General features: G+C 51.0%; 1 protein-coding gene, 2 long non-coding RNA genes and 1 pseudogene across 5 annotated transcripts in view, besides 4 other annotated features; 3 read left to right on the plus strand and 1 right to left on the minus strand.

Moving 5' to 3' along the window:
• RN7SL391P (RNA, 7SL, cytoplasmic 391, pseudogene) lies at window positions 86-369 on the plus strand (annotated as a pseudogene).
• On the plus strand, window positions 1,336-2,610 carry LOC112268088 (uncharacterized). The gene is made up of 2 exons (XR_002957396.2): window positions 1,336-1,548; window positions 1,897-2,610. It is a non-coding gene; the product is annotated as an uncharacterized LOC112268088 (long non-coding RNA).
• Window positions 1,409-1,909: an enhancer, noted in NCBI's record as "H3K4me1 hESC enhancer chr12:6455043-6455543 (GRCh37/hg19 assembly coordinates)". NCBI's record gives its function as "activates a minimal SCP1, AML or CMV promoter by ChIP-STARR-seq in naive H9 embryonic stem cells {active_cell/tissue: H9 hESC(naive)}" and the evidence as "EXISTENCE:reporter gene assay evidence [ECO:0000049][PMID:30033119]".
• SCNN1A (sodium channel epithelial 1 subunit alpha) overlaps window positions 2,379-19,988 on the minus strand; it is a 30,513-nt gene continuing 12,903 nt past the window's right edge. For all 3 annotated transcript variants that reach the window (NM_001159575.2, NM_001038.6, NM_001159576.2), the window contains 11 exons: window positions 18,975-19,242; window positions 17,583-17,773; window positions 11,309-11,412; window positions 10,804-10,967; window positions 10,282-10,380; window positions 9,970-10,087; window positions 4,859-4,937; window positions 4,696-4,753; window positions 4,482-4,537; window positions 4,259-4,334; window positions 2,379-3,785 (listed from right to left, as the gene is read on the minus strand). In NM_001159575.2, coding sequence (NP_001153047.1) covers window positions 3,405-3,785; window positions 4,259-4,334; window positions 4,482-4,537; window positions 4,696-4,753; window positions 4,859-4,937; window positions 9,970-10,087; window positions 10,282-10,380; window positions 10,804-10,967; window positions 11,309-11,412; window positions 17,583-17,773; window positions 18,975-19,242 — 1,594 coding nt within the window. In that variant the 3' untranslated portion in view covers window positions 2,379-3,404. The remainder of the gene's footprint in view (window positions 3,786-4,258; window positions 4,335-4,481; window positions 4,538-4,695; window positions 4,754-4,858; window positions 4,938-9,969; window positions 10,088-10,281; window positions 10,381-10,803; window positions 10,968-11,308; window positions 11,413-17,582; window positions 17,774-18,974; window positions 19,243-19,988) is intronic.
• Window positions 3,713-11,311, plus strand: LOC107984500 (uncharacterized). Its single transcript, XR_007063191.1, has 4 exons — window positions 3,713-3,799; window positions 8,261-8,372; window positions 8,630-8,726; window positions 11,057-11,311. It is a non-coding gene; the product is annotated as an uncharacterized LOC107984500 (long non-coding RNA).
• Window positions 17,633-18,316: an enhancer, noted in NCBI's record as "H3K27ac-H3K4me1 hESC enhancer chr12:6471267-6471950 (GRCh37/hg19 assembly coordinates)". NCBI's record gives its function as "activates a minimal SCP1, AML or CMV promoter by ChIP-STARR-seq in naive H9 embryonic stem cells {active_cell/tissue: H9 hESC(naive)}" and the evidence as "EXISTENCE:reporter gene assay evidence [ECO:0000049][PMID:30033119]".
• Window positions 18,809-19,402: an enhancer, noted in NCBI's record as "H3K27ac-H3K4me1 hESC enhancer chr12:6472443-6473036 (GRCh37/hg19 assembly coordinates)". NCBI's record gives its function as "activates a minimal SCP1, AML or CMV promoter by ChIP-STARR-seq in naive H9 embryonic stem cells {active_cell/tissue: H9 hESC(naive)}" and the evidence as "EXISTENCE:reporter gene assay evidence [ECO:0000049][PMID:30033119]".
• Window positions 18,867-19,266: a silencer, noted in NCBI's record as "silent region_4160". NCBI's record gives its function as "represses an Ori minimal core promoter by ATAC-STARR-seq in GM12878 lymphoblastoid cells {active_cell/tissue: GM12878}" and the evidence as "EXISTENCE:reporter gene assay evidence [ECO:0000049][PMID:35858748]".

The raw sequence follows: 19,988 nt of genomic DNA on the forward strand, positions 1-19,988 counted from the left end.
GAGGTGGGCGGATCACAAGGTCAGGAGTTCGAGACCAACCTGACCAACATGGTGAAACCCTGTCTCTACTAAATATACAAAATTAGCCAGGCGTGGTGGCGCGTGCCTGTAATCCCAGCTACTCAGGAGGCTGAGGCAGGAGAATTGCTTGAACCCAGGAGGCAGAGGTTGCAGTGAGCCGAGATCCTGCCAGTGCACTCCAGCCTGGGTGACAGAGCGAGACTCTGTATCAAAAAAAGAAACCAACTTCAATGTCCTATTTTTTTTTTTGATAGAGTTTCACTCTTGTTGCCCAGGCTGAAGTGCAGTGGCACAATCTCGGCTCACTGCAACCTCTGACTCCCGGATTCAAGCAATTCTCCTGCCTCAGCCTCCCGAGTAGCTAGGATTATAGGCATGTGCCATCATGCCCGGCTAATTTTTTGTATTTAGTAGAGACGGGGTTTCACCGTGTTAGCCAGGCTGGTCTCAAACTCCTGACTTCAGGTGATCCACCCACCCTGGCCTCCCAAAGTGCTGGGATTACAGGCATGAGCCACCACGCCCGGCCTCAATGTCCTATTTTTAATGTTATAAGGTATTTCTAATAGTCTGTGCAAAGCGCCAAAGCCGTGACACATAGCCTGGTACAAAAGGAGAATATTTTTCAATATTTAGGATACATGCTTATTTACTCAATAACTTTACAACTTTGACACGTCATATTACATTTTTCAATAAAATTTTGTTTAAAAAAAAAGATGATGAGAAGTGAGTGGATCTAGGAATATGAAAAGCTAACACGTTTCGTGGAGGAGGTGAGAATGAGACCATCATCCCTCCAGGGACAGAAAAAAATCATGGTCAGAGGAGATGGAGAAACAGGAGAGGGGCAGACTAGGGATGACAGAATCGGCTGTTAGGGCTTGTAGAGCAAAGGATGAAGAAAACAGCTACAGAGAGCAGGGACCTTCCTCCCGCATCATGGCACACACACACACACACACATGCTTAACCCAAAGGGTCACTGGACTCCAAGTCCAGATGACGTGGGTTCTAGCCCCAGACCTGCCATTCAGACTCTATGTGTCACAGGGTGGCAGGGTGAGTCATAGAAAGGGAGCTGGGTTCATGGCAGGTTCTCTAAGAATTATGAAGCTCAGCAAGTCACTTCAACTACTAAGCCTGATAAGGAAAATGAGTCAACTTGAACCCTTTTATCGCTAACAGCCTGATTCCAACTCCTAACCCCAGGGTCCAGGAGTAACCCATAGACAAGTGAATGGAGATAAGGAGACAGCTCTGGGGAAAAAAGCAGGAGGCAAGAGAAGCAGGAGCCTGGGGGAGCTGACTGCAGTCATCCGTAATACATCTGGCTATGTCCGGCAGGTCCTCCTGCCCCAGCCAGAGGAGAGGGCACTGGGGACCAGGTGGGCCAAGGCTGAGGCTGAGGGGGCAGACAAGTGCCGTCTGCACCTGAGGGCTCTGACAGAGGAGACTGCAACACCATTTCCCCTTCATCAGCTCAAGTCCAGGAAAGGGAAGTCAGCAGTCGTCACACCGTTTCAGGTCATGACCCTGTCTACCTTCCTACCCCTGTCACCAGCTCCTTCTCCTCTTTCCCCGAAAGTCTCTTCCTCCTTTGGCTCCTCAGAACAGGGAGACTGCAATTAAGATGAATAAGACTAAGGTGGCAGGGACAGAATCCCCAAAGATGGTGAGAAAGGGTCACTTCTGGATTCCAGGTCTTATGCTGGAGTGGGGGAGAAACAAGGATCGGAGAGCTGGAGTTCCACTCGCACATCCTTCAGCCCCTCCCTGGACCTCAGTCTCTCCTTTACTAAAGCTGGGAGGATTCCCTGTGCCCCTCTCTGCAATCATGTACCAATAAGACCATATAAGGCTTTGCATTTCCAGGAGAAACTGGCCTGAGCCTCATCATCCTCCACCACCACCAGACAGCTGATGGGAGGCAGGCAGATGAGGGTTCATTGCCGCCAGGTGGTAAGTGGGACTCAGCAAGTGGAGTGGGGGATGGGGAGGTTAGTGATGATGGTGACTAAAGCAGAGAAGGAAAAGGAGGTTCAGACAGTGGAGAGGGCAAGTCTCCCCAAACACTGTGAGGTAGGTCCCCTGAAGGGGTGGCATCATGTCTTCCCCCTTCCACCCTAACATGGCCATGGGCACATAGCAGACGCTCAGCAACACCCATGGAGGAATTCACCAGAACGTTTGTCCCTCTTAAGACCCCGTGAAGAATGGTCACTTCCATGGTGCAGCCAAGGGGCATGGGAGTCTGTACCCTCTCCCAGCCCCAGGACCTCCCAGAAGCTTGGGTGATGACTTGTATCCACCCCCTACCCTCTTCATGATGCCCCATCCAGCTCTCCAGACATTCCTTCATGCAACAAACATTTATTGAGCTCCTGCCTACTTGCTCCAAGCAGGATGATGGGCTAGACATGGAGCATACATAAACGGGCAAGATTCAGTCCCTGACCGCAAGGCACTTACAGTCTAGTTGGGAAGGGAGACACAAATGTACAAGAAAGTATGGTGCAACAGCAACACTCCAGCAGATGTTATAGTGTGCTACGGGAGCCCAGGAGAAGGCGGAGTGATCAATTTTGGGGAAGACAAGATGTGGCAGAAGCGTTCACAAAAGTAATGGTGTCTGAGCAGGGTTCTAAGGGATGCATAGGAGTTCTCTGGCAGATGGTTGGGGAAACTTTCAGGCTGAGGAAATATCTCAAGCAGACATGTAGAGGTATGAAAGACACAGGGCAGAGGTGCCGGGGCATGGCTCTGTGAGGGCACGGGTATGAGGCTAGAGGAGCCCTGGGTCTGCCTTTACTTACCCGGGTCTGCTCTAGCCCTAGCCCTCGGGAGTCAGGGAAGGGGAATTGCCTAAGTAACAAAGGGGGCTTTTGGGTGGGGTTTCCCACCCAAGTTCAAGAGGAGGAGCAGACATCTGTGCTACTGGAGAGCAGTGTGGCCAGGCCAGTCGGGGGCTGGCTTAAGCCGTCGCTGGGCAGGAAACCCGTGCATGCCTGCGTGTACCCTTGGTTGTGTTTTGTCCTGGTTATCAGCGGTTTCTTAGGAAAGTTCCTTGTCAAAGCTCCAAGTTTCGCTTGGCTGATCCAAGGGAAAAAGAGACTTAGCCGCAGTTGGGTGGGGAAACCAGAGTGTTCAGAGGCAGTACCAAGGGGTACAGGGCTGGAGCCAAGGCACTTCTGGGCAGCTTCATCAGCTACTGTTCTTGGAGCAACTTCCTGAGCCCTTACCCATCTTGCTTCCCCTCCACACATCAACGGCAGTTTGGGCGGCTCTGAGAGGAAGCCCTGCACATCCTTCAATCTTGCCAGGGCCAGCACCCTCCCACCAGAGGAGCATCTGCCTTGGTGTGAGAAACCTCTCCTTCCCTCTCAGGGCCCCCCCAGAGGACAGGTGGAGGAACTGGCCCCTGCAGAGCCCCCTGGAGATGGGCGGGGGCCCAGGGTGGCATAGGCAGGGGGAGGGGCTGTCAAGGCTGGAGAGGGAGCAGGGCCTGGCTGGGACAAGGACAGAGACATGGGGTGGGGGCAGAAGTGGGAAGGAGGGGAGGATGCCAGGGTGGAGGCTACCTCCTGAGCACCCCTGCCCCCTCGGCCTGGAGACCAGTATCGGCTTCGGAACCTTCGGAGCAGCATGAGGAACATGATGACCAGCAGGTCAAAGACGAGCTCAGCCATCTCCACCACAGACAACACCGAGGAGCCGAACCACAGGCTCCACTGGCTGCCCAGGTTGGACAGGAGGGTGACCATCTGTGAGAGGAGAGGTACATTGACGATGGGACAGAGGGTTCTGGATGGACTCTGGCAGAGGAGCCCCCTTCCCTCCTCACCAAGCTGTCTCCCTTCATCCCTGAAGACCCCCGAGTCCTCTCAGCCTCTCAGCAGCCCCCTGGGCTCTTTGTCTCTGCTCCTGGCCAGTGTCACCCAGAGAAAACTGATAACTGGCCCACAGTTAGGGGCAGCTGAAATGGGGGCATGGGTCAAGCGCCTTCACCCCAGCATCTAGCATGCCTGTCCCTCCCACCACCCCCAGAGACCTTATGCCCCGGCCGAGCTCCTTCTTCCAACCCTCCCAACCTCTCCCTTGACCCTCTTCTTTGGTCCCCTGCCTTTGAGACTCAGAGCCTTCTGGCCCACAGAGACAACCTTTTGGTTTTCCCCGACAGCCGCCCTGCTAAGTAAGACCCCCAGAGCATCACAGGCTCCATCCAGGCACGACCTACCGTGACAGAGGGAGACTCAGAATTGGTTTTGTAGTTCAGCTCCTTGAAGAAGATGTTGACTTTGGCCACTCCATTTCTTAGGTGTGGGGCAGAGGGTGGGAAGAAATGGTAGAGGATGAATTTCCTGGACCTTCCTCTAATCAACCATATCGATCCCTCTTCTTAGGTCTATTTTCCCTCCCAAAGATTCCCTTCTTGTGGCTGGGACCAGGGCAGGACTGACCTCTTGTTGTTGACGGTGTAATTGTTCTGTCGCGATAGCATCTGGAAGACCCATTCCTAGGAAAGAATGGGGGTGTCATCAAGGTCACTCCCATATGCTTCAGGCTTACAGGGATAGGGTTGTGTCAAACACACTCATACACATAATACCCAGAGAAGGCCACAGCATTACATGGGCACACACATCCCCCACCCATCCCTTCCCCACACTCTACCTGGGATGTCACCGAGGGCCATCGTGAGTAACCAGCAGAGAGCTGGTAGCTGGTCACGCTGGGGATGGAGAAAGGTGCTCAGTGTTGGGGCAGAGCTCTCCCAAATGCTTGGCTCGGTAACCTGTATTCTACCCAACCTGTACCCGGGGAAGGGGACACTAACCTGCATGGCTTCCGGCACTTGGTGAAACAGCCCAGGTGGTCTGAGGAGAAGTCAACCTGGAGCTTATAGTAGCAGTACCCTGTGGGTACAGAGAGATGCCTGTTCTCCTAGGGCACCTCAGCTTTCTCTACCCCACACCCAAGAGGTCTCCCAAGATCCCTGGGTACCCACTTTACAAGAGCATTATTTAGCATTATAATGATGCCTTATGAGTGGCAGTACCAAGAAGCGTTTAAGAAATTAAGCTAAGCCAGGGACAGTGGCTCAGCACTTTGGGAGGCCGAGGTGGGAGGGTCGTTTGAGGCCAGGAGTTCAAGGTTGCAAGTGAGCTATGAGTGTGCCTTTGTACTCCAACTCTGGCAACAGAGTGAGACCTTGTCTCTAAAAAAAAAAATTTTTAATAAATTAATTTTTTTTTTAGACGGAGTTTCGCTCTGTTGCCCACGCTAGAGTGCAGTGGCGCAATCTTGGCTCACTGCAAGCTCCGCCTCCCGGGTTCATACCATTCTCCTGCATCAGCCTCCGGAGTAGCTGGGACTACAGGCGCCCGCCACCACGCCCGGCTAATTTTTCGTATTTTTAGTAGAGATGGGGTTTCTCTGTGTTAGCCAAGATGGTCTCGATCTCCTGACCTCGTGATCTGCCCGCCTCGGCCTCCCAAAGTGCTGGGATTACAGGTGTGAGCGACCGCACCTGGCCTAAAAAATAAATTAATAAAGAAAGAAAATAAGCTAAGTCAGGCGAAAAACAAAACAGGATACACCAGTGTAAGGAAATATATGCTATGGACAAAAACATAAACGCCATAAAGAAAAATGGGAACAGGCCGGGCGTGGTGGCTCACGCCTGTAATCCCAGCACTTTGGGAGGCCGAGGCGGGTGGATCACGAGGTCAAGAGATCGAGACCATCCTGGCTAACACGGTGAAACCCCGTCTCTACTAAAAATACAAAAAATTAGCCGGGCGTGGTGGCGGGCGCCTGTAGTCCCAGCTACTCGGGAGGCTGAGGCAGGAGAATGGCGTGAACCCGGGAGGCGGAGCTTGCAGTGAGCCGAGATCGCGCCATTGCACACTCTAGCCTGGGCGACTGAGCGAGACTCCGTCTCAAAAAAAAAAAAAAAGAAAAGAAAAATGGGAACAATAATTGTATAAGAATAAGGGAATTAAGCCACAATAAGATACCACTTCACACCCATTAAGATGTGTGTTATTTAAAAAAAGACAATAGGCTGGGTGCGGTGGCTCACGCCTGTAATACCAACACTTTGGGAGGCTGAGGCAGGTGGATTACCTGAGGTCAGGAATTCGAGACCAGCCTGGCCAACATGGTGAAATCCAGTCTCTACTGAAAATACAAAAATTAGTCGGGTGTGGTGGTGCACACCTGTAATCCCAGCTACTTGGGAGGCTGAGGCAGGATAATTGCTTGAACCTAGGAGGTGGAGGTTGTAGTTTGCCAAGATCGTGCCACTGCACTCCAGCCTGGGCAACAGAGTGAGAGTCTTCTCAAAATAAATAATAAATAAATAAATAAATAAATAAATAAAAATTTAAAAAGACAATAACAAGAACTGGCAGGATGTGGAGAAACTGAAAACCTCTTATACTGCTGCTAGGGATGTACAATGGTGATGTCACTTCGGAAAACAGCCTGGCAGCTCCTCAAAAAAGGTTAAACATAGATTACCATATGACCTAGCAATTCCATTCCTAGGTATATACCCAAGAAAATGGAAAACATGCGTCCACACAAAAACTTGTACACAAATGCTCACAGCAGCATTATTCACAATAACCAAAAAGTGGCAACAACACAAATGTCCACTAACTGATAAATGGGTAAACAAAGTGTGGTCTATCCATACAAGGGAGTGTTGTTATTCAGCCATATAAAGGAATGAGGCACTGCTATTGCTACCATACGGATGAACCTTGAAAATATTATGCTAAGTGAAATAAGGCAGACACGAGGGTCACACACTCTAAGATTCCATCTATATGAAAGATTCAGAATAGCCGGGCGCAGTGGCTCATGCCTGTAATCCCAGCACTTGGGGGCTGAGGTGGGCGGATCACCTGAGGTCAGGAGTTTGAGACCAGCCTGACCAATATGGTGAAACCCCATCTCTACTAAAAAATACAAAAATTAGCTGGGCTTGGCAGCATGCGCCTGTATGTAGTCCCAGGTACTCGGGAAGCTGAGACAGGAGAATTGCTTGAACCTGAGAGGCAGAGGTAGCAGTGAGCCAAGATCGCGCCACTGCACTCCAGTCTGGGCGACAGAGGGAGATTCTGTCTCCAGAAGAAAAAAAAAAAAAAAGATTCAGAATAGGCAAATCCATAGAGAGAGAAAGAAAGAATCGTGGTTGCCCAAGGGCTGGCAGTGGTGGAGGAGGGGAGGGAAGCTTGGGACTTGCTAATGAGTACAAGGTTTATTTATTTATTTATCTGAGACAGGGTCTCACTCCATTGCCCAGGCTGGAGTGCAGTGGCCTGATCATGGCTCACTGCAGCCTTGACCTCCTGGGCTCAGGTGATTCTCCCAGCTCAGCCTCCCAAGTGGCTGGGTCTGCAGGTGTGCACCACCATGCCCAGCTAATTTTTGTAAAGACAGGGTTTCGCCACGTTGCCCAGGCTGGTGTCGAAATCCTGGGCTCAAGTGATCTGCCCACCTTGGCCTCTCAAAGTGCTGCGATTACAGGCATGAACCACTGTGCCTGGCTTGAGTGAGTACAGGGTTTCTTTTGGGAACACTAAAAATATTCCAAAACTGATTATATGATGATTGCACAACTCTGGGACTATACTTAAAACGTAAAATTAAAACTAAAATTTGACTAAAATGAAGCTGTATGCTTTAAATGAGTGAAATGTATGGGATATAAATTATCTCAATAAAGCTATTACCAAAATAATAATAATAATAATGGAACTGTAGATTCACCTCCTCCCCTATTTCCCAAATTCTAAGTAAGGTTATTTTGTCATTATTGCTACTTTTAGTTCCTCAGTCTGAAGTCCTTCTTCATTTCTGACCCAAATCCCTACCAGGGCTGGAGATCTTTAGGAAGAAGGGGAAGCAGCTGGCCCTCTTCTCCGGGGAAGTAAGCCCTAGGAAATGCAACAGACTGTGCTTTTAGCCTTACTTCCTCTCTCATCCTCACAACTTCTCAGCAATCAATATTGTTATTTTTCACTCACAGATGTGCAAACCCACAAAGTAGAAATAATTATTTGAGGGGAGGGAGAAATCACAGGTGGCATCTCCTCCATCCCAGTTCTGTATACCCTGGGACGTGTCACATCCTCCCCCTGGACCTTAATTTGCTCATCTGAGACAGGAGATGAGGCCAGATGGCCTTTGGGTTTCCCCCAGTTCTGATGTGCTACAATCCTCTAAGGTCAGAGAGACAGGAACCAGGAGGCCACGACTGGAAAGTCCAGGCAGAAGAGAACTGCGGAGCCAGCCCAGGGAAGGACAGAAGTGGAAAAGTCACCACAGACAGGAACAAGGTAGGGATGGACGCTGAACTCTGGGGTGAGACAATCCGCTGCCTTTGAGGGCCTCTGTGTCTCCAGTGCCCACTACCATGTCCCCTCCCGTGATGGCCCTCCGCCCACCCTGTGGGACAGCTGGGCCCAGGGGAGAGCCCTGGGAGGAGGAACTGCAGGGGGAACAGGCCAGCTGTGCCAGGGAAGAGCATGAACTCCAGGAATGCAAACCCTTGCAGCTTACATATTTTCTTTTTGTGATTTTCTTTCTCTCTCAGCTTCCTGGCACACGACTTCCCTGCCAAACAACTCAACTGTAGTCAAAAGGAAAGAGATTTGTCTAGTCCTATACCAGGATAAGGAGGAGATTCCAAGGTGCTCCAAACTTTACTGATTGTGCCCTTGTTCAGTTAAAAAAAAAATCTTAAACAGGTCCAATACATGTATTTGATTTATAAATTATATACCTCTACTATTGAATGGATACAGTATGTCCATTCTAAAGCACATAAGATGGAAAATGTGAAGGAATGAGACAGACCCATGTATCTTCTAATATTTTCTTCCTGCTCCCCAGGGAAGTGTTGTGTACCCCACCCAGCCCCTCCAGAGCCTGCCCAGCTAAGCGCCCTGGGCACTGAGCAGGGAAGCTGTGGGCAGAGCATGCACTGAAACCTTAGGAGCCATTGAGGAACCGCTGGAGGTTTTCTCACGTGCTCTTCCTTCCTTCTGCTGCAGGTTGTTTTTATTTTTATTTTTATTTATTTATTTTATTTATTTATTTTTTTTTGAGACCGAGTCTCGCTGTCACCCAGGCTGGAGTGCAATGGCGTGATCTCAGCTCACTGCAGGCTCCGCCTCCCGGGTCCACACCATTCTCCTGCCTCAGCCTCCCACGTAGCTGGGACTACAGGCGCCCGCCACCTCGCCCGGCTAATTTTTTGTATTTTTAGTAGAGACGGGGTTTCACCGTGTTAGCCAGGATGGTCTCCATCTCCTGACCTCGTGATCCGCCCGCCGTGGCCTCCCAAAGTGCTGGGATTACAGGCGTGAGCCACCGCGCCCGGCCTGCAGGTTGTTTTTAAATGGGACAATTCCTTGACAAACACACAAAGGCCAAAACAGAGAGACTGCAACACTGAGAGGGAGGAACAGAGATAGAAGAGAGAGGGAGGCCGAGGCGGGTGGATCATGAGGTCAGGAGATTGAGACCATCCTGGCTAACAGGGTGAAACCCCGTCTCTACTAAAAATACCAAAAAATTAGCTGGGCGTGGTGGCGGGTGCCTGTAGTCCCAGCTATTCAGGAGGCTGAGGCAGGAGAATGGTGGGAACCCGGGAGGTGGAGCTTGCAGTGAGCCGAGATCGCGCCACTGCTCTCCAGCCTGGGTGACAGAGCGAGACTCCATTTCAAAAAAATAGAAAAAAAGAGAGAGAGACTGAGGGAGAGGGAAACTGACAGAGGCAGAGACTAAAGGCTGAAAAACAAGAGCAAGGAAGGATTCATCCCAGCAGGTGGGAGCCAGAAGTCATCCCCACAAACAGGGGACTGAGAGGAAAAAGTGCCTCAGTGAGTACTGGGGTCAGTGGGGCAGGGTGGGGGCTCCCTGGAGTCTCACCCCAGGAACTGTGCTTTCTGTAGTCACAGTACTCCACGTTCTGGGGCCGCGGATAGAAGATGTAGGCACAGCCACACTCCTTGATCATGCTCTCCTGGAAGCAGGAGTGAATACACACCTGGAAGGGAGGAGGGTGGAGAGGAGAGGGGGTTCAGGCCTGAACTCAGCAGTTCTCTGCACAGAGCCTCCATCCTCTTTCCACCACCCCCCAGTTTCCCTCTCTCTCTCTCACATACACAACCCCTCCAGCTTTGCAGGGCCAGCCAGGGCAGTGGCTGGGAGTGGCTGCCACGGAATCAGGTTGGGCCTCACCTGCTGTGTGTACTTTGAAGGGTAAAGGTTCTCAACAGGAACATCACTGCCATTCTTGGTGCAGTCGCCATAATCGCCCCCAAGTCTGTCCAGGGTTTCCTATGAACCCACATACACCAAGAGATCAGAGGACAGAGCAAGTGCCTCTGGGTTCTCTGCCTTCCCTCAGTTCCAGGTTGTATCTCACACCTGCCAGCCCCTCCTACTGGCCTCGCCCTCTCAATACATGCTTCCAGCCACCCCCATGCCCACCCACTGCTCATTTCAAGGCCACTAGGCCCAGAGCATCCCCAGAAACCCTAAGCATGCCTTGAATGCCTTCTCAGCACTTGTCCCCCAGGGTCCACCCTGCAGGGCTTTACTTCCCAGTGCCAGCCCCTCTGCCCCTCATTCCTGCTCCTGAAGACCTCCACATGCTCAAGGCCCACCCCACATGCTCTCCCTCTCCAGCCTCCCATGCCTCCCCGCTGCCCCTCTGCAATCTGAGGCGCTCCTTCCAGGCCTCCCAGTCAGCATCCTTGCCTTCCTCATGCTGATGGAGGTCTCCACGCCAGGCCGCAAGTTAAAGCCACCATCATCCATAAAGGCAGGTTCATCCTGCCCGTGCACCATTACCCGGGCCCCAGTCACTGTGGACAGCAGGGGAATGAAGTCATTCTGCTCTGCGCGCAGCATCAGGGACAGACCTAGGGGTGCAGAGAGAGCAGAGTTGGCAGAGGCGGGAATCCTAGAAAAGAGTTAGGAGATGGAAATCCACTCTCCCTTCCTTGCCCAGTCTCTAAAGCTGCAAGAGAAGCAAGTTCAGGAAGACCCGCAAAGGGACCTGGCAACCCCTGAGCTGGAATCTGGAGGCAGGAGGAAGACCTGGGACGGGATTCCTCTCATGCCTGGAACGGACTATGTGGCACCTATTGGGGAGAGACAGCAGGCAGGACCCCTCCCAGCAGCTCTAGGAGGTGAGCTCAAGGTAAGTACAGGTGAGTGGCTGAAGCAGAGGGCGCCATGGAGCAAGCAGGGAGCTTCTCACCGTTGTTGATTCCAGGCATGGAAGACATCCAGAGGTTGGAGTTGTTCTTGTCATTGAAAGTATAGCAGTTTCCATACATCGGGTGGTGGAAGTGAGAGTAATTCCTTATCAGGAAAGAGAGAGTAGGGTCAGAGAGGAAAGTGTAGGTGGTGCAGGGAATAGGGAGATGAGGCAGAGAGAAATGTCCACTCTCTTAAACTCCTACAGGACTTGTGCCTTTCAGAGCCATTTGTTTCCTGATCACCTACTATGTGCTGGCACAATGCTGAGAGCTTTACTCACACTCCCTCAGTCACTCCAACCAACAGCCTGTGAGAGTCTCATCCTCATATCACAGAGGAGGAAGCTAAGGCTCAGAGAGCTCAAACAGCTGGCCCAAGGTCACACATCTACCTTCTAGTCCAGGCTCCTCTCACCAGGCCATCTGGGTTCACCGGCATTGACTTCCGTGCTGCCTTGTAACTTCTCTCTTGTTGCATTACAAAGATTCTTGCATGTCCCTAACTGCCCATGCATCTAAGTGTTAGTTCCCCATTGAATCATGAGCTCCTTGATGACAGGAGCCACATCTCATTCATCTCTGTGTCATCTCTGGGTTAGTTGCATAGATCCTGTCATCTAGGAGATAGAGGAGATGATTAATAAATAGTTGTTGAGTGAGGAATGAATGAATGAATGAATGAATGAATGAATGAAGGGGAGGAGGGGAGCAGGGTTAAAGGAGAAAGTGTGACCAGTGGTGAGCACGGAGCTGAGGGGAGGAAGATCAGTACCAAGTGTTTCCTGGGAGCCTCTTGCATCAGTATGTCTCAGAATGGTAGGTCCAAAACTCATCTGTGACAGGTGTGGGGACAGAGAGAAAGCAATCACAGAGGCAACACAGCTGCAGTAGGACTGCAATTTCACAGCAAATCACAGGTTCCAGAACAGGGAGGCTGTGTGGGTTGTAGCACAGCACATGTGCCACACGGCACAGAGAGGATCTGTGTTCTGCTACCCTGCCATCTTGGAGCTAGCGACGGGAGCCAGGCAAAGACGGAAAGGGGACTTCGGCCAGTGAGCAGCAGAGGAGGACTAAAGAGAAGAGGGAGAAGAGGCTGGCCAGAGATAAAGGGTGGGGTTCTGGTTGTACGGTCTCAAGCAGGTCATTGTTTCTAAGCTTATTCTCCTCCTCTGTAAAATGTAGGATGATTCTGTAAAATGAGGAGATTGGAACTAGGTGATCCGGGATATTCCACTGGCCTTGAAGAACAAAGGCACAGAGGCGTGACATACTGGTGCACATTCTAGGATGTACTGGGAAGTCAGCACTTCTAGAGCCCAGGCTAGATGCAGGGAAGGACTGAAGGAGAGGCTACAGAGGTGGCCAGTCCTGAAGGCTGGTGAGCCCTTCGCACACAGAGAGGGGACAAGTATAATGGTGGGTGCTGCCCCCATGGAAAGCAGGCACAAGTTCCATCAGCGGTGGAGAAACACGGATGGGTTTTAAAACATAGAGCTTCGAAAAAAAAAAGTGGTGGGGCACAGTGGCTCACGCCTGTAATCCCAACACTTTGGGAGGCTGAGACAGGTGGATCAGTTGAAGTCAGAAGTTTGAGACCAGCCTGGCCAACATGGTGAAACCCCGTCTCTACCAAAAATACAAAAATTCGCCAGGCGTGGTGGTGGGCACCTATTATCTCAGCTAGTCGGGAGGCTGAGGCAGAAGAATCGCTTGAACTTGGGAGGTTGCAGTGAGCTGAGATTGCACCACTGCACACTACAGCGAGACTCTGTCTCAAAAAAAAAAATAGTAAGAGGTGAAATGAGATCTATAACACAATACCATTTATATAAATTAAATACAGATTTTGCAAAAACACATAGAGATACACACTAAGCACATTACTATAGTGGCCTATGAGAATCAGTATAATGTGATGGTTAAGAGCACAGACTCAGCCAGGCGCAGTGGCTGACGCCTGTAATCCCAGCACTTTGGGAGGCCGAGGCGGGTGGGGTCACCTGAGGTCAGGAGTTTGAGACCAGCCTGGCCAACATGGTGAAACCCCATCTCTACTAAAAATACAAAATTAGCCGGGCACGGCGGCACATGCCTGTAATCCCAGCTACTCAGGAAGCTGAGGCAGGAGAATCACTTGAACCTGGGAGGTGGAGGTTGTCATGAGCTGAGATTGCGCCATTGCACTCCAGCCTGGCCAGTAAGAGTGAAACTCCGTCTCCAAAAGAAAAAAAAAGAGCACAGACTCCAGAATTAAATTCCTTGTATTTGAATCCTGGGGCTCTAACAAGTATTAGATGTGGGACCAAACAAGTTACTTACTTAATCTCTCTGTACCTCAGTTTCCTCAGCTGTAAAATGGGGATAATAAAAATATCAACCTCACAGGGGTGTTGAGCATGAAATTATGCTTAGAATGGTGTCTAGCCTTAGTAAGAGCTGTATTAGCTCACTAGTACGATTACAGGGATTCATTAAGATGGCTAAAGTCAAAAAGACAGACAACAGCATGAGGAGGAGGTAGAGAATTTAGAACCTTCATACATTGCTGTTGGGAATGTTAAATGGTGTGACCATTTGGAAAAGTCTGGTAGCTCCTCAAAATGTTAAATATAGAGTTACCACATGACCCAGCAGTTCCACTCATAGGTAAACACCCAAGAGAAATAAAAACATAGATCCATGTACAGGATCCACAAAAACATGTACAGGAATGTTCATAGCAGCATTAATCATAACAGCCAAAAAGTAGAAACAATCCAAATGTCCATCAACTGAGAATGGATAAGCAAAAATGTGGGCCGGGCGTGGTGGCTTACACCTATAATCCCAGCACTTTGGGAGGCCGAGGCAGGAGGATGGCTTGAGCTCAGGAGTTCGAGATCAGCCTGGGCACCATAGTGAGACCTAGTCTCTACTAAAATTAAAAAAAATTAGCTGGGCATGGTGGCATGAGCCTGTAGTCCCAGCTACTTGGGAGGCTGAATCAGGAGGATCGTTTCAGCCCAGGAAATCAAAGCTACAGTGAGGTCTGATTGTGCCACTGTACTCCAGCCTGGGTAACAGAGTGAGAACCTGTCTCAAAAAAAAAAAAAAAAAAAAGGTGGTGTATCTACACAATATCATAGTATTCAGCCATAAAAATGAAGTTCTGATCCATGCTACAACATGGATAAGCTTTGAAAACGTTATGCTAAATGAAAGAGGCCACTCACAAAAGACCACATATTGTATGATTCCACTTATGTGAAATGTCCACCACAGGCAATCCATAGAGACAGAAAGCAGAAGAGTGGCTCTCAGGGCTTGGAGGAGGGGAGAAAATGGGGAAGAACTGCTAATGGGTACAGGGTTTCTTTTTGGGGTAAGGAAAATATTCTAAAAACAGGTAGTGGTAATGGTTACACAACTCCAAATATATTAAAAATCACTAAATTATACATATTAAAAGAATACATTTATGGTTTGTAAATTATATCTCAATAAAAGTGTTATTAAAAAAAGATTATAGGGTGGGGGAAAAGGGTGTAGTTATCGGGGAGGAAAGGGGTGAGAAAGCCATGCTAAGGAGTACCAACTTGATGCTGGAGGCCGTGAGAGACACTGAACGATTTTAAACAGGAGGATACAGTTTGGATGTTTGTCCCCTCCAAGTCTCATGTTGAAATGTGATCCCCCATGTTGGAGGTGATCCTAGCTGGGAGGTGTTTGGGTCACAGGGGTGGGTCCCTCTTGAATGGCTTGGTGCCCTCCTCACAGTAATGAGTGAATCCTCACACTATTAATTAGTTCACCCGATAGCTGGTTGTTTAAAAGTGCCTGGTCTCTCTCTCTCTTGCCCCCTCTCCTCCCCTTCTACCATGAGTAAAAGTTTCCTGAGGCCTCCCCAGAAGCTGAGCAGATGCTGGTGCCATGCTTGTACAATCTGCAGAACCCTGAGCCAATTAAACCTCTTTCCTTTATAAATTACCCAGACTCAGATATTCCTTTTTTTTTTTTTTTTTTTTTTTTCAGATGGAGTCTTGCTCTGTCGCCCAGGCTGGAGTGCAGTGGTGCGATCTCGGCTCACTGCAACCTCCACCTCTTGGGTTCAAGCAATCCTCCTGCCTCAGCCTCCTGAGTAGCTGGGGCCACAGATGTGTGCCACCACACCCGGCTAATTTTTATATTTCCAGTAGAGATGGGGTTTCGCCATGTTGGCCAGGCTGATCTCTAACTCCTGACCTCAGGTGATCCGCCCATCTCGGTCTCCCAAAGTGCTGGGATTACAGGCATGAGCCACCGTGCCCGGTGAGATATTCCTTTATAGCAACACAAAATGGACTAACACACAGGACTAACTGGAATAGTTACATGTGGTGACGTGAAGTAAGGTTGAAGTACAAAGGTTCCTGTAGTTGCAGAAGGAAGGGAGGATTTGGAGGCAAAAGAACGCAGTAGGGTGGAGTGGTGGGTATAACAACCCAGGCGAGCAATGAGGCTCTGAGCTGACCTAAGCGCCTAAGTGCCAAGATAAAGATGAACCATGGACTTTCTGTTGAGGGGGAGGCAGGCACACAGAGCAAAGGGAGGGCATCGGGTGAGGGCATAGGGAAAGCACAGGTGTCCATGGACTTTCTGTTGATGGGGAGGCAGGCACACAGAGCAAAGGGAGGCATCGGGTGAGGGCATAGGGAAAGCACAGGTGTCCAGGTGACAGTTAGAGGAACTTGGTGACAGGTGTGGGCGGACTCAGGCTTAGGTGTTGCTACCATCTTACTTCCCAGCTGGTAGTTTCTGTCCTCAAACAAATGCAAAGACTAAAAACAGAACAAAATCGTGTACTGGGCAGAGTGTGTGTGAAGGGTAAGAAGTGACACCTTGCCCTGTGGCCATTCTTCAGCAACAGGGGAGGGAATGCCCCCTGTAGAGTGGAGCCAGGCAGAGGCAGGGAGATGGCTCCGGAAAATAAACGAGCAGGAGGAGAAGGCAGGGGAGGAGGGGGCCAGAGGTTACAGAAGGGGACCCCCCCCTCGCCTCAGCCTCTCCCAGCCCTCAGAGAACCTGCAGCTGCTATGAGCTGCTTGCAAGGACATTATAACAGGGGTCCTCACAGAATGAATACCCGAGGGGTAGTGGGGTGGGAAGAATCCTTAGCCAGGGCCGGCCCATTCCCAAGGGCAAGTCACTTCACCTGTTTGAGTACAAGAGTAATGAAACCCATCATTTACTGTGGTCTATAAAGTGCCCTCACGTTTGTATCTCACACACTTGGTACAGCTCTTGAGATGAGTGTTATCGTCATCATCTTCGTCACTTGAGTAAAAGTGCCAAAGGAGCATGGATTATATAGTTTTTCCTTTGATGTAGTCCAAATGCCTAGAACAGTGACTGGCACATAGCCCAGATAGTCAAAACTATTTGTTGAACGAACACTGAATGAATCTCATTTTTTGTTTTACTTCCATTTTACAATCTAAGAAATAGGCTCTGAAGGATGATGTGATACATCCAGAGTCACCTGGCCAGGAAGTGACAGAGCTAGAGTGGGAACTTAGGTTTAGTCCCTCAACCCATGCCACTCCACCTCACTACTACTGCCAGCCTCAGCTCAGGGAACAGAGTATGAGACAGATGATCTCCTAGGCCCTTTTGAGCTTTGATGCTAGGGAGAAAGGGGCCTTAGAAAGACCAAGACCCTGGCCAGGCATGGTGGCTCACGCCTGTAATCCCAGCACTTTGGGAGGCCAAGGCAGGCAGATCACCTGAGGTCAGGAGTTGGAGACCAGCCTGACCAACATGGACGTTGACCAACGTCTCTACTAAAAATAAAAAAATTAGCCAGGCGTGGTGGCGCATGACTGTAATCCCAGCTACTCAGGAGGCTGAGGCAGGAGAATTGCTTGACCCCAGGAGGTGAAGGTTGCAGACAGCCGAGATCGCGCCATTGCACTCCAGCCTGAGCAACAAGAGCAAAACTCCATCTCAAAAAAAAGAAAAACAAAAAAGACCAAGATCCATGCTTCCAGCCTTTGGTTTCTCAAAGCCCCAGTCTTCCCAAGGCATCCTGTGAGGCCACTTCCCTCAGATCCAGCAGTGCAGGGAGCAGCAGGAGTTCGTAGGGCGCTCTCTGGGGCAGGGTGTGGGCCCAAAGCCAGTGCTTCCCCCTGGCCTGCTGGCACTGGCATTTTTTTAGTCAACAAGCATTTCCTGGGCCCTGCCCATGCAGGGCGTGAGGCTGACCCAGGGAAGCGGACCCCGCGGAGAGCAAGGAGCCAGGCAGGACTGACTCACGCCTGGTTGCAGGAGACCTGGTTGAAGCGGCAGGCGAAGATGAAGTTGCCCAGCGTGTCCTCCTCCAGGGATGGCAGAGTCTCTGGCAGCCTCGACAGGATGTTGATGTAGTGGAAGCGGTACCACTCCCTCACCGCATCCACCCCTGATGAGTATGTCTGGTAGAAGCAGTCCGATTTGTTCTGGTTGCACTGGACACAGAGACTAGAGTCAGAGGGGACACGCAGCCGGGGATAAGCCCCTTGGCAGGGCCAAGGGCAAAGAATGAGTGATCTGGGGTTCTGAGGACTGACGGACAGGAGTCGGAAGCCAGGAGTGGGGAAAGACAGAAGTGGAAGAGAAGCAGAAGTCCCTAGGAGCATGGACCAGGGGAGCATGGGATTAAGGGAGTTGCAGGCCAGGAAAGGAGACCAGTAGCTGCACACACACGGTTTTGGTTCATTTATACCTCCCCTGCCTAGGGTGGAAGGAGCAAGACTTTCCCTCCCATTTCACTGATGGGAAGACTGAGGGATCAAGAGATTTGTCCCAGCAAGAGCTGGGACTAGGACTCCAGTCCCCAGCCCACTCTTACTAATGGGAACTTCCCTGTCTCCTTTCCTTGGCTCCTCCCTCATTTTCCCTTGCTCCTTTCTTTCTTTTTTTTTGGCAGACGAGCTCACTCTGTCACTCAGGCTGGAGTACAGTGGTGTGATCAAGGCTCACAGCAGTCTCCATCTCCCGAGTTCAAGCAATTCTCCCATCTCAGCCTCCTAAGTAGCTGGAACTACAGGCTTGTGCCACCACATGGGCTAATTTTTGTATTTTTTTTTTGTAGAGATGGGGTTTCACTATGTTGACCAGGCTGGTCTAAAACTCCTGGGCTCAGGTGATCTGCACGCCTAGGCCTCCCAAAGTGCTGGGATTACAGGCATGAGCCACCGCCCCCAGCTAAGTTTCCTTTTTTTACTGTCTCCTTATTCTCTATCTTGGGCTGTTAGCCCAGTTCTCCATCACGCTGGAGGGTCCTAACTGAGTCCCACTAGTGGGCACTGGAATTCAGAAAGTTGCATTTTCCTTCCTGAATCAAGGACCAGAAACAGTAAAACAATAATAATAATAATAATAATAAAAGTTCATTTTCCATAATAAATTTGACTTCCTACCCCTGAAATGCTTCTACATAGGACCCCAGGGAGGAGGCCCCAAAAGCTTGGGCACCAAGAGGTGTTATTTTAATTATCTAGTTATTATTTGTATTTATTTACTTTTTTTTTTGCCCGCGAGCCCACGAGGCCCCGCGTGGTGTCACTGGGCTGCGCGGGCGGGTCAGGAAAGGAGCGGAGCCCATGGGTGGGCGGGGCCAGGGGCCGGCGAGGGGCGGGGCGGGCCCCTCGGCGCTGCGGGCCTCACCAGCTGGAAGCCGATCTTCCAGTCCTTCCAGTCCACCTGGGGGTTGTTGTCCCGCAAGCTGGAGGCCACGCTACGGGCTCGACGGGCCCCGTGAGGCGGGGGCGGGACCCTCAGGCGCTGCAAGGGGTGCGGCAGAGTCCCCCGCAGGTCGCGACGGCTGCGGGAGCCGGCCACGAGAGTGGTGAAGGAGCTGTATTTGTACAGGTCAAAGAGCGTCTGCTCTGTGATGCGGTCCAGCTCCTCCAGCTCCTCTTTAATTTCCGGGTACCTGAAGGGGCGAGGGGAAGAGGGTCAGGCCAGGGGCCCTGGAGCGAGTGTCTGGCCCCTCCGGGGTCAGGGTCCTCATCTGTGCCCCGGGAGGCCGGTCCATCCCGGAGAAGCCTGGGCGGGGCTGGGGTCGTCGTGGCGCCTCCTGGCCGTCCGGCGGTGAAGGGTAAACAGGTGTGTCCGCCGGGAAGGCGGAGGCCACGGCGAGCCCAGCCGGGACACTGTGGACTGTTTATTGAAGGAGAGAGGCAGGAGGCGCCTGTCGTCTGTGGGGCGCTCTCCCCCTCGCCCGGACCTAGAAGGGAACCCGGAACTTGTCTGCCCTTTCCCAAAGAGGGGAAGGGTGAGGGCCTCGGCCTTGGCGTGACCGCGGTACCCAGGTCATCCCGCCCTGATCCCCGCAGGCGAGTGTCGGTGGCCTTTCGGCTTGAGTGCCGCTTGGCACCGAAATCAAGAGTTCACAACTGAACTTTTAGAATCTCCAACTCTAAAAATACAGGATGCCCCACCCACCCCGCCTCCCTCCTCCAAAGACTGTTCTAATGTGTTTCGGGTGCGGCCTAAACACCGTAAATTAAACACAGCTCACTGTAAATCCCTACATTCCTTCTTAATACAATTCCTATTACCATCTCCATCATGAAAGTCCAGAGTAGCAGGGCCTGAGGGATGTCATCTACCAAAACAAAACAAATATAGAACTAACAAACTGAACAAGGTTGCAGGGTACACAACAAATACACAAAA

The sequence above is a fragment of the Homo sapiens genome, chromosome 12 (genome assembly GCF_000001405.40).
Source record: "Homo sapiens chromosome 12, GRCh38.p14 Primary Assembly".
Taxonomy (NCBI): Eukaryota; Metazoa; Chordata; class Mammalia; order Primates; family Hominidae; genus Homo; species Homo sapiens.